The sequence below is a fragment of the Homo sapiens genome, chromosome 4 (assembly GCF_000001405.40).
Source record: "Homo sapiens chromosome 4, GRCh38.p14 Primary Assembly".
NCBI lineage: Eukaryota > Metazoa > Chordata > Mammalia > Primates > Hominidae > Homo > Homo sapiens.
This window is the reverse complement of record NC_000004.12, coordinates 108,788,356-108,802,009: the sequence shown is the minus strand read 5'-3', so window position 1 is coordinate 108,802,009 and position 13,654 is coordinate 108,788,356. Positions and strand designations below refer to the sequence as shown.

Here is a 13,654-nt window from a genome sequence, read left to right as displayed (position 1 = left end):
ACTCCTCAATCCATTATTAAGCCCTCCCCCACCACACAGCGAAACTACTCTCTCCCCTAGGGAGCTCCTAAAGCCTTCGGAATTAAGTTACCATCAATATGCCACTATCTCTCTCCAAACTCCAGTTTTGATTGCAGCTGCATTCTTCTGGATGTGCAACTGGCACCTCAAATTCAACACATGCAGAACGGATCTTGCCCACCGCCCCTCTGCCACATTCCTCCTCCTCTGCCCCACATAGTATCACTATGGGAATAGTATCACCACTCACACAATTGATGAAACCAAAACTTACCTGTCACTTCTGACTCTACCCTCCTCATCATCCCCAGTCACTCTTCATGACCAGCAGATTCTACTGATTCAATATAAACTACAACTGCCATCTTCACAGCATTGCATGGTCACAACCTAAGGCCAAGTAACTTATGTGTCATGTCTGAATTACTGTAACTGCAGGTCTTACAGTGGTTGGTCCTGCCCTACACAGTAGCCAGAATTATCTTTCCCTGCTCGAAACTCTTTAACTTGAAGCTCTGTTTCTCTCAGGATAAATCTCAAATTCCTTACCGTTTACAAGGCCCTTCTTTATTCAGTCCATATCTACTCCTCTAGCCTTACCTCTCGCCATTCTTTTCCTTGTCATTTATGTAGACAACCTGCACTTATTTTTCAGTTATTCAACCAGGCTCTTCTCTGTCATTTCCAGACTTTCTCTCTGCCACTGTTTCATCCCTCCTTTACCTAAAAACCCACTTTACCTCCCTAACTTCTACTTATCCTTAGTGTCAGCTTAGTTGAACTTGTCTCAGAGGCTTAAAAAAAAAAAAAAAAAAGAGGCCAGGCGCAGTGGCTCATGCCTGTAATCCCAGCACTTTGGGAGGCCGAGGCGGGTGGAGGACCCAAGGTCAGGAGTTCAAGACCAGCCTGGCCAACATGGTGAAACCCCAGCTCTACCAAAAATTCAAAAATTAGCTGGGCGTGGTGGCGCATGCCTGTAATCCCAGCTACTCGGGAGGCTGAGGCAGGAGAATCGCTTGAACCCGGGAGGCAGAGGTCTCAAAAATCAGTGAGACTCTGTCTCAAAAAAAAAAAAAAAAAAAAAAAAAGAAAGAAAGAAAAAGAAAAAAAATCTCAGCTTAGACGTTACTACCTCTGGAGAAGCTTCTCTGGATTTTCCAGTGTTGGTTACGTAGCTCTCCTCTGTGCTCCCTTTGCCTCTTTTGACATGCTATGACTCCATGAAGAGAGAGAGAGAGCTCTGTGTTGTTTGCCCTTATGTCTTTAATGTCCAGCACATAGTTGGCACTCAAATACGTACTAATTAAAATAATATATTAATGAAAGCAATTAACCAAATGAAAAAAAGAACAAGTCATCCAGGGATAATATTGGGTGTGTGAATATGCAATGCAACAGTGAGCATGTAATTCATATTAAAATCTGCATGACTTTTCTACTGATTCAGAATTGATAATAAAGAATCCCTTGGCTGGGCGCAGTGGCTCACACCTGTAATCTCAGCACTTTGGAAGGCCGAGGCAGGCAGATCACAAGGTCAGGAGTTTGAGACTAGCCTGGCTAATATGGTGAAGCCCCATCTCTACTAAAAATACAAAAATTAGCCAGCCGTGGTGGCGGGTGTCTGTAGTCCCAGCTACTCAGGAGGCTGAGGCAGGAGAATCGCTTGAACCCGGGAGGCAGAGGTTACACTGAACCGAGACCACACCACTGCACTCCAGCCTGGGTGACAGAGCGAGACTCTGTCTCAAAAACAAGCAAACAAAAGAATCCCTCGATACAAGAGACATAAGTCTATGTGCATTTTCCCTTCTATTCTCTGTGATATCAACATCAAATAGTGATAGCAGAAAAGACTTGGTGGTGGGGCTGTTCTTTACTTCTTCTAAACCAAGCTGTGTCCTCCGGAAAACAATTATCCAATAAAATAGTGATAAGTATTCCACAAATAAGATAATTCAACATAAGAATATGAACTGGGGCTGGGTGCGGTGGCTCACGCCTGTAATCTGAGCACTTTGGTAGGCCAAGGCAGGCAGATCACCTGAGGTCAGGAGTTCGAGACCAACCTGGCCAAAATGGTGAAACCCCATCTCTAGTAAAAATACAAAATTATCCGGGTGTGGTGGTGTGTGCCTGTAATCCCAGCTACTCAGGAGGCTGAGGCAGGAGAGTCACTTGAACCCAGGAGGCAGAGGTTGCAGTGAGCTGAGATCATGCTATTGCACTCCAGCCTGGACAAAAAAGAGCGAAACTTGGTTTCAAAAAGAAAAAGAAGAATATGAACCAGAATGTCTGTTAAAGGGATAAAGGATATATCTTTCATAGACACAATTTGGGAAATGCTGTCCGGCAGCGGTGTTTGCTCCAATTCAGTCAAAACTTGCCATACCCGAGGTACGCAGGGCCTTGTTTCTCAATTGGCATTCCTATCACAGGAGTTGTTCCAAGGAGTGACTATTCAGAGCTGTCTTCACTGGTAACTCCTCATTCTTTGGCACTCCTTTCCATTCTTTTCATCTCCACTGCACTCCACCCTCAATCCCCTCTCATATCTCTACCCAAAAATGCACCAGGATTCACTTCTTAGCTTGAATTAAAGCCTGCTTTCAGCATCCGCCAAATCCATCATTCAAGGGCAATGACAAGTTCTAAAAGTAATAAAGTCCCATTTGGAAAATGTTTTTCAGTAGAGTACATAAAAGGCAGTCAAGTAGATATAAGCTTTTCTAAATCATGAGTTTATACTTACAAATTAAAAGGAAGGTTGGAATACAGAAACAATGAAAGAAAGAAAATGAGTCATACTTATAATGAGCAAATATATCAAGTCACTGGCTGAGAAGACAGGAGTTCTGAAATGGTCAAACTGTGGTGGAAATAGTTGTTGACTTCATCTATGGTTGAGATGTTTAGTAAATGGACAAGGTATCAATATCTTAGCCATACTGACATTGAATAATTATGAAGTTTCCTATACTATTCTGTCTACCTGCAGAAAATGAAAACAAACCTAAAAGCAAGTGATAATGAAAAAATTGAGTAAAAATGTTTGACTTGGCCAGGCGCAGTGGCTCACGCCTGAAATCCCAGCACTTTGGGAGGCTGAGGCGGGTAGATCACCTGAGGTCAGGAGTTCGAGACCAGCCTGGCCAACATGGTGAAATGTTGTATCTACTAAAAAAAATACAAAAAATTAGCTGGGTGTGGTGGCTGGCTCCTGTAATCCCAGCTACTTGGGAGGCTGAGGCAGGAGAATCCCTTGAACCCGGGAGGCAAAGTTTGCAGTGAGCCAAGATCACCCCATTGCACTCCAGCCTGGGCAGGCAACAACAGCAAAACTCTATCTCAAGAAAAAAGAAAATAGATGTCAGACTAGAGAACCTACCCTTAGATAGTTTTAGCTACATATTTTACACTATTTGCTGTTTTAAATTTACTGCCCACAACTTACTATCTATAATTTACTGCCACAATAAGCTCCCACTTTCTTCTTTAATTCATCTAGCAATTTTTGGTACTGCTTTGAGAACTCACCAACAATAAAATTACTTTTTCTACTTTTAGGGCTAAATTATTCATTAATTTTTAAAGAGTACTCTCCTCCCTGACTCATCATCTTTTCCAAAAATGTAAGAAAGAGGGAGAAAGCCTAATTATGCTATTTTGGGTACAAAAATTGGATAAGAAATGTATAACATAAGAAAGGGGAAATTAAGTTATAATATTTGATAAAATTTAATAGGTATTCTCTGATTTTAAAAGATGAAATAGAATGGAGTTTTCTTAACCTGACATAGGAATGAATATATTAAAAACCTATAGCAAACATATTTCTTATTAGCAAAAAGTTATAAACATTCCTTTTAAAATGAAAAACAAGAATAGAACATTTAATACTATTCTATTAAGAGAAGCAATAATAGTCTAATTAATTATACTAGTAATTATTAATAGTATATTTAATAGAAGCAACAATGCAATTACAATATGCAATTAGCCGGTACAAATAATGCAATTAGCCAATGCAAGTAGAAAAGAAAAATAGGCCAGGCATGGTGGCTCACGCCTGTAATCCCAGCCCTTTGGGAGGCTCAAGCAGGTGGATCACGAGGTCAGGAAGTCAAGACCAGCCTGACAAACATGGTGAAACCCCATCTCCACTAAAAATACAAAAATTAGCCGGGCTTGGTGGCATGCACCTGTAATCCCAGCTACTCAGGAGGCTGAGGCAGGATAATTGCTTGAACCCCGGAGGCGGAGGTTGCAATGAGCAGAGATTGCACCATTGAACTCCAGCCTGGGCAACAGAGCGAGATTCCGTCTCAAAAGAAAAAAAAAGAAAAAGAAAATAAAAGGGTTGAAAAGAAAGAAAACTGCCTGTGTTTATTCTATGGCTGCTATAACAAATTACCAAAATTCGGTGGCTTAAAATAACACAAATGCATTATCTTACAGTTCTGTAGTTCAGAAGTCCAAAACGGATCTCACAGTGCTAAAATTAAGGTGTTGGCAGGGCTGCACCTTTCTGGAAGCTCTAGGGAAGAATCACTATCCTTGCCTTTTACAGCTTCTAGTGGCTTCTTGCATTCCTTGGCTCATAACCCTCTTCATTATTCCTCAAAGACAGCAACATTAGGCCAAGCCCTTCAGATGCTGCAATCATTCTGGGTCTCTCTCTTCTACCTCTTTCACTTTTTAGAACCCTTGTGATTACATTGAGCCCACCTGGATAACCCAATACTCTCCCTATTTTAAGGTCAGCTGATAGCAAGCAACCTTAATTCCATCTGCAACCCTAATATCTCCTTGGCATACAGCACAACATATTCACAGGTTCTGGGGATTAGGACATGGATATCTTTACAGTGTCACTATTCAGCCTACCACACTGCCACCGCTCACAGGTTGTGTATATAGATAAACCTAAAGAAACTGTAAACCATCAGATTTTGTGGTATTGTCATCCTCTAAAAATTATAAGTAGTTAGCATAGCATTGCTATGTTTTTATAAAATACAGATACTTAGCAGAAACATGGGCTGTAGGTAAAAAATAAAAATAAAATAAAGATGCCATTGGCATCTCATACCTTTCACATGTTCCTCTAGTAAGAATACTTAAAACACTTCTTTTTTTTTTTTTTCTTTTTTGAGACGGAGTTTCATTCTTGCTGCTCAGGCTGGAGTGCAATGGCACCATCTCAGCTCACTGCAACTTCTGCCTCCCAGGTTCAAGTGTTTCTCCTGCCTCAGCCTCCTGAGTAGCTGGGATTACAGGCACGTGCCACCATGCCAGGCTAATTTTTTGTATTTAGTAGAGACAGGGTTTCACCATGTTGGTCAGGCTGGTCTCGAACTCCTGACTTCAGTTGATCCACCCGCCTCAGCCTCCCAAAATGTTGAGATTACAGGCATGATCCACTGCGTCCGGCCAAAATACTTATTATGGTAATACTTAACAAATGTTTATTGACTTCCATTTATCTTCAAAATATTATGGTGTGTGATTTTTGCTACTTGTATTAATCTCAGTTGGCAGGCTGTTTCTGGCTTTGTTTTGTTTTCTTTTAGGCTGAGGATTTCCTGAGAGACCATGTGACAGGACACTACACTTAATCCTCATATCCCTGGAAAGAAAATATAATTATCTTTCACAAATAGAGCCGAGACTCAGAGAAGTTGGATCACCAGTCCAAGATTAAGTAAATAAGTGGCTGAGAAAAGATTTGAATGCAGGACAAATGTTACAGCTCTTTCCACCCCACCACTATGCCTTGTTCCTAGGTGACTCTAACACTTCTTCCAATTCTGAGATGACATGATTCCATATATGGCTGGTGACAATAAACAACTATAAATACCACTTTATATTTCCATACTGCTTGGTATTTTTAAATCATTTCCTATCAGTTCTATCTGATTCTCTCAATAACTATATAAGATTAATAGCATTAATATTTTCACTTGGAAAAAATAATCCAAAGAGAATGAGTGACTCAGCCAATGTGATACAACTATTAACAGCAGAGCCTGGAACCAGAACCTCCCAGCTCTTAGAACTTTGTCCTTTCACTGAGACATGAAGCATGAAAGCCCAAAAAAGCAAACAGTGTTCCAAAAGCCTTTCTAATGTGTATTTTCCATGAGATGATTTTGGGCAAGAAAAAAATCTACTCTAAATTTTTGTCATTTTCTTCTTTTTCTTTTTTTTAATTAGGAAAAAGTTATTTCTAGACTCTTCTCAACTGATGTTTGCGAAGTTTTTTTTGGCATCCAAAACACAAATAGTTTAGTGTTGAAGAACTCAGTTACTGGAGCCAATTAGGCTATTTTTTTTTTTTTTTTTTTTTTTTTGAGACAGAGACTCGCTCTGTCTCCTAGGCTGGAGGGCAGTGGTGCGATCTCAGCTCACTGCAACCTCTGCCTCTTGGTTTCAAGCAATTCTCATGCCTCAGCCTCCCAAGTAGCTGGGATTACAGGCAAGTGCCACCAAGCCCGGCTAATTTTTGTAATGTTAGTAGAGACTGGGTTTTGCCACACTGGCCAGGCTGGTCTCGAACTCCTGACCTCAGGTGATCCACCTGCTTCGGCCTCCCAAAGTGCTGGAATTACAGGCATGAGCCACATGCCTGGCCCAATTAGCCTATATTTGAATCCCTGTTCAACCACTTACTAAAGCAAGTTATCTGATCTCTGTGGGCCTTGGTTTCCTAATTTGTGAAATGGAAAAGATAAAATTACCCACCTCAAGGTGGTAAGTTAATACACATATTTAGTGAGTTAATACACATACATGCTTAGGTCAGACTCTGGCCCAGAGTCAATTCTCAATGAACCACTAGCTATTTTTCTCTTCCGAAGAGAAGCCTTGTATATCTATCAGATCGGTAGAAAGTTTGCAGTGATTAAGAAGGTCTGCTCTATGTTAAGAAAGTGAGACATTTGGCCAGGCGCGGTGGCTCACGCCTGTAATCCCGACACTTTGGGAGGCCGAGGCGGGCGGATCACGAGGTCAGGAGATCGAGACCATCCTGGCTAACAGGGTGAAACCCCGTCTCTACTAAAATACAAAAAATTAGCCGGGCGAGGTGGTGGGTGCCTGTAGCCCCAGCTACTCGGGAGGCTGAGGCAGGAGAATGGCGTGAATCCGGGAGGTGGAGCTTGCAGGGAGCCGAGTTCGCGCCACTGTACTCCAGCCTGGGCGACAGAGCCAGACTCCGTCTCAAAAAAAAAAAAAGAAAGTGAGACATTTGCTCTTAAAAGCTAAATGCTTTTTCTTGCATTTTATTGACTATTTAGTGTCCCAAAAATACCTATACACTATATATACCGGCTTAAGGACTAAATTTGATATAAAAGCTAGTGAGAGAAAAGGGTAGTTTTCTTCAGATAAATTGAAAAATAATGAATGTCACCACCTCTTAAGACAGTTAGCAAGTTTCCTTGCTAAGTGTAAAGATGGTAAACTATTGATAGGAAAAAAATATGGGACTCTCAGGACTGAACAATTTGTGAGAAAGCCATCAAAAGACAGCTATATTAAGAATAGTTGAAATAGGGGCATTTTGCTACATTCTTGCCCCTATTGTTTGCGCAGCCTAGTTAAACTGCTGGACAAGCTAGAATTCCAAGTGTCTTGCTCAAAGAGTTGTGCATGCCAGAACACTTACATAACCCTGAACTTTTGTATTCCAAGCCTGGCATTATGCAGCATATTGTAATATTAACACAGACAAAGAGATTATTAACACCTAGCTTAGGGTAATGGGCTTCTTATGAACTAGTCTCTTCCTATTCAACTAGAATAGTGCAGAATTTTATTGACATTCAATAAAGATTGACTCATAAAAATGTCATTACAGCACTCTTTCTTTTGTCATATAACTTTTTAGCAATTCAGTGTGTGCTTGAGCTCTCTTAAAGATATTTTCATTTTGACTAAAACATTATTAAAGCATTATTTAAAATATTGCACAGCAAGAAGTCAATAAGTAACTATAATGATGCTTCCTCCACAGAGGTGATGCCTCTAACACACACGTGCGTAGGTTATTTTTCTAACACTAGTGATAGGTTTGCAATGAACCAAGAAAATGCTCTTGTTCGAGGGCCTTCAAGGCCAGTAGCATGAATTTAAGTGATCCGCCAACATGTCCAAAACTAACCGGTTCCTTGGCTCTATATAATGTGGGCACTAGGTGACCAAACTCTGATCAATTAGTTCAGTTTAACAGTCTCAGAGGGCTGCAGCCAAGCTCTTTGCAAGTAAGACACGCATCCTGAGCAGCACAAGTATAGAGGTAATAATAGATGTCATTGACTTAGTGCTTACCACATACTATTATGCTGAGCCATCATATATCTTATTTCATCCTTACAACCACACTGTGAATTGGGCACTTTATTATTCTCATTTTACACATTAGAAAACTAAAAGTCAGAAAGATGAGTAATTCACCCAGGCTCACACAGCTAGAAAGTAGCAGAGCCAGAATTTGAAACTAAGCACTGCACTCTCATCTACAAAGCTGAAAGGAAGAACCTTACAGCCAATGCAAAGTTAGGGATATGCCCAGAGTACACCATGGCAAAAAGGAGGAACATTTGACCAAAGCAACTCGTTTCTCACTGTACAATTCAAGAATGCTAAAAAAAAAATTGTGACTGGACTTAGGATAGGAGGTCACAAGTCCACACAGGACTCCAAAGATCTCCCAAACGTCTGTTTCCAACATCTGGAATTGGTACATAGGGGATCTGGAAGGTGAAGTCTTCCCTCTTCTCTAAGACCCAAACAAAAATTAGAAATCATGATGCTGGCTAAAAATGTTTTCTATCCCCTCCATCAAACATATCAAATCCCATAATAAATTGGGTCACTGTCTCTTGAGATTTTCATTTCAAAAGCTAGCCATCGTTCAATACACCCTTCCTTCAATATAATAAACAGTAATCTATTTGTTAGAGTAAGTCTGACAGCAGTAGGACGCCAATTATAATGGTTAACATAATAAAAACTTCAGATGTAACTCTGGACCCAGACATCAAGTACAAATATATATGTAAACATTATATACATGTAAATATTATATGAAAATATATATTTTTTTACTTTTGTGTCTTAGAACAGCAGGAAATGGCACAAAATACATTAGAAAACATGGTAAGAATAAATCCTATTGTATAGAAGTAGCTGGCTGGAACTAATGCTAACACCTGAAATCCCAGGACCTTGGGAGGCCAAGGTAGGAGGATTGCTTGAACTCAGGAGTTTGAGACCGGACTGGGCAACATAGTGAGACTCCATCTCTACCAATAATGTAAAAATTAGCCAGGTGTGGTAGCTCATGCCTGTAATCTCAGCTACTCAGGTGGCTGAGGTGGGAGGATCACTTGAGCCCAGGAGGTTGAGGCCGCTGTAAGCTGTGATCATGCCACTGCACTCCAGCCTGGTCAACAGAGCAGCAAGACTCTGTCTCAAAAAAAAAAAAAGGAAAGCTGCTGATCCATATTCCAAAATATATAAGGATAAAACAAGATAAAATTAAGACAGAAAAAATAACCTTATTGTGAGATTAAGGTGCTATGTTGTTATATTTACTATACTCTGAGAATATTCAACCATTTACATTAACATCACTCATGAGAGATGTGAATCAGATAATGAAAAGGGATGCATAAGAAAAAACTGATACTCAGAATAAATCTAGTTAATACTTCAATACTCTGAGTTAGAGTGTTTTGTGGTGAAATGACCTTCACATTCTCCTGAATGTAACCAGCCCTTTCACAGTAAGGGAGGAGATAGGAATCAGAGTATATATAACTGCATGTATCATGTAAAATTGGTAATTATAATAAAAGCTTCCATTTAGTGGTACTCCATGGTTCAGAGTACTTCTATGTACTCTCCTAAAAGTAATTATATTTTGAATTCATACTGTATATGTCCTCTAAAGTGCTGAGGTTACCTTTACATGTACAATTTAAGCAAGCAGAACCTACCCAGGGAAAGGCAACCTAATGTCAGTGAAATGCAAGTAGGAATTATTTGCAGTGTATTCCAGGACACCAGTGAATTCAACATTCAGACTTTCAGAAAATCAAAACCTGATTTAAAGAGAAATGGGAACGTGGTGGGCAGGTAAAAGATATGGATGTTGGGGTATATGCAGGAAACCAAAAAGTAAACATACAATCAGAAAACTGGCATTTTTGTCAAGTGTGGTGGCTCACACTCGTAATCCCAGCACTTTGGGAAGTTGAGGCAGATGGATCACTTGAGGCCAGGAGTTTGAGAACAGCCTGGCCAACATGGCAAAACCCCATCTCTACTAAAAATACAAGAAAAAAAATTACCTGGGTGTAGTGGCACGCGCCTGTAATCCTAGCTACTCAGGAGGCTGAGGCACGAGAATCGATTGGACCTGGGAGGCGGAGGTTGCAGTGAGCCAAGATCATGCCACTGCACTCCAGCCTGGGTGACAGAGTGAGACTCTGTCTCAAAACAAACAAACAAAAAACCTGGCATTTTGATTATTTGAAAGGGTTCTTAGTTTCTGGGAGCCTCAAGGGTTCATTGGCTGGTATTAAATAGATGGCCTTATCCCTGTGTATTCACATTGTCTTCTCTCTCTAAGGGTCAGTTTCTGTGACAAAATTTCCCCTTTTTGTAAGGACTCAATCATATTAGATTAGGGCCTACCCAAATGACCTCATCTTAACTTGATCATCGGCAAAGATCCTATTTTCCAAATAAAGTCATATGCACAAGTACCAGGGGTTAGAACTTCAACATCTTTTGAGGGGACACTTTCAACTCATAAAAGGAGGATACAATAGGCTGAGCGTGGTGGCTCACACCTATCATCTCACCCTTTGGGAGGCCGAGGTGGGCAGATCACGAGGTCATGAGTTCAAGACCAGCCTGGCCAATATGGTGAAGCCCCATCTCTACTAAAAATAAAGAAAAACTAGTCAGGCATGGTGATGCACACCTGTAGTCCCAGCTACTTGGGAGGCTGAGGCAGGAGAATCGCTTGAACCAAGGAGGCAGAGGTTGCAGTGGGCCAAGATTGCACCACTGCACTCCAGCCTGGGCAATAGAGGGAGAATCTATCTCAAAAAAAAAAAAAAAGGGAGGATACAACAGAAGAAGGAAACTGAATACAGGTATGACAGGTACTACCCTGCTTTTCTATTCCCCAAAACCATGGAACCCAGTAAACTGCTGTGAAACTTGGAGTCATTTTCTAGAAGTGATGCTGATATTCTGGCATACACTATATTGTTTGTTTCTGCTGAATGCTTTTTAAAAAGAGAGGGCTTCATAATAAAGAAACTTTTGTTCTGGTATTCTTTTGAGTTTGTTTATTAATAACAGGATTTTATGTAGTTAACAATAGGAATTTTATACTTCAGGCTGTACCAAAGTCTACAAGTCAAACAACAGGGACAACAAATAAGTAGATAGATAACTCCTAACTTTAAATAGTAATTTCCAGGCCAGGTGCGGTAGCTCATGCCTATAATCCCAGCACTCTGGGAGGCCAAGGCGGGTGGAATACCTGAGGTCAGGAGTTCGAGACCAGCCTGGCCAAAATGGCGAAACCCCGTCTCTATTAAAAATACAAAAATTAGCTGGCATGGTGGCAGGCACCTGTAATCCCAGCTACTCAAGAGGCTGAGACAGGAGAATCGCTTGAATCCAGGAGGCAGAGGTTGCAGTGAGCTGAGATCAAGCCACTGCACTCCAGCCTGGGTGACAGAGCAAGACTTCATCTCAAAAACAAAAAAAGAGAGAGAGAAAAATAGTAATTTCCAAAGACAGGGATTTCTTACATTTTATTGTATTTTTGACCCATAATTTTGCATACTTATGGGACACAGTGTGATCTTTAAATACATGTATACATTGTGAAATTATCAAATCAGGGTAATTGGCTTACCTTCATCTCAAACATTTATCATTTCTTTGTAGTAAGAACATTCGAAACCTTCTCATTATTTTGAAATATTCAATATTGTCAACTATAGTCAAATATAGGACACTAGACCTTATTTCTTCAAACTAGCTGCAATCCTGTACCCGTTCACTAACCTCTCCTCATTTCCCCATCCTTCCTACCTACCCCACCCCATCCTGACCCTCTGGTAACCACTCTTCTACTCTATTTCTATGAGATCAGCTTTTAAAAATTCCTCAAAGAAGGGGCAGCTGGGACATGGGGACACCAAGAGAGTGGAAGCCCCCAGACTCATCGAGGGTCTCAGCCACAAAGTGATCGTATCTGCAGCATGTGGGCAGAACCACACCTTGGCCTTGAGGGAAACTGGCTCCGTGTTTGCATTTGGGGAGAACAAGATGGGGCAGCTGGGCCTTGGCAACCAGACAGACACTGTCCACAGCCCCGCGCAGATAATGTACAATGGCCAGCCAATTACCAAAATGGCCTGTGGGGGCTGAATTCAGTATGATAATAGACTGCAGAGGAAACCTCTGTTCCTTTGGGTGCCCTGAATATGGTCAGCTGGGACACAACTCGGATGGGAAGTTCATTGCCTGGCCACAGCAGATAGAATACGACTGCAAACTGGTGCCCCTGCAAGTGGCCATCTTCATCGAGAAGACCAAAAATTGACAGATGCTGCCTGTACCAAACGTGGTTGTGCAAGATGTGGCCAGTGGCACCAACCACACTCTGGTTCTGGACTCCCAGAAGCAAGTCTTCTCTGGGGCTCCAGTGGCTATGGCTGGCTGGGCCATGCAGAGCAGAAGGATGAGATGGTCCCCCGCCTGGTGAAGCTGTTTGACTTTTCTGGACGTGGGGTGTCCCAGATCTATGCTGGTTATACCTGCTTCTTTGCCATCAGTGAAGTGGGTGGTCTGTTTTTCTGGGGGTCACCAACACCTCCCATGAATCTACCGTGTACCCGAAAGCAGTGCAGGACCTCTGTGGCTGGAGAATACGGAGCCTGGCTTGTGGAAAGAGCAGCATCACTGTGGCCACCAATGAGAGCACCATCAGCTGGGGCCCGTCGCCGACCTTCGGGGAACACGGCTATGGGGACCACAAGCCCAAGTCTTCCACTGCAGCCCAAGAGGTGAAGACTCTGGATAGCATTTTCTCAGAGCAGGTCGCCAAGGGCTACTCACACACCTTGGTGATAGCAAGAGACAAATGCTAGACTGAGAAAGAGAAGATCAAGAAACTGCCAGAATACAACCCCCCAACCCTCTGATTGATGCTCCTGGAGACTCCTCCAACTCCACACTTCTCGCAGCAGCTATCATTTCCATGAGCACTGGGACGTGAAGTCAAACTAGGAATTTAAAAAAGCAAAAGTTGCTGGGCACAGTGGCTCAGGCCTGTAATCCCAGCACTTTGGGAGGCTGAGGCGGGCAGATCACCTGAGGTCAGGAGTTCGAGACCAGCCTGGCCAATGTGATGAAACCCCGTCTCTACTAAAAATACAAAAAATTAGCCAAGTATGGTGGCATGTACCTGTTATCCCAGCTACTCAGGAGGCTGAGGCAAGAGAATCACTTGAACCCAGTAGGCAGAGGTTGCAGTGATCTGAGATCGCGCCACTGCACTCCAGCCTGGGTGACAAGAGCGAAACTCTGTCTC

The 13,654-nt window shown here is 41.9% G+C and overlaps 1 pseudogene; it reads left to right on the top strand.

Moving 5' to 3' along the window:
• On the top strand, window positions 12,230-13,372 carry RCC2P8 (regulator of chromosome condensation 2 pseudogene 8; annotated as a pseudogene).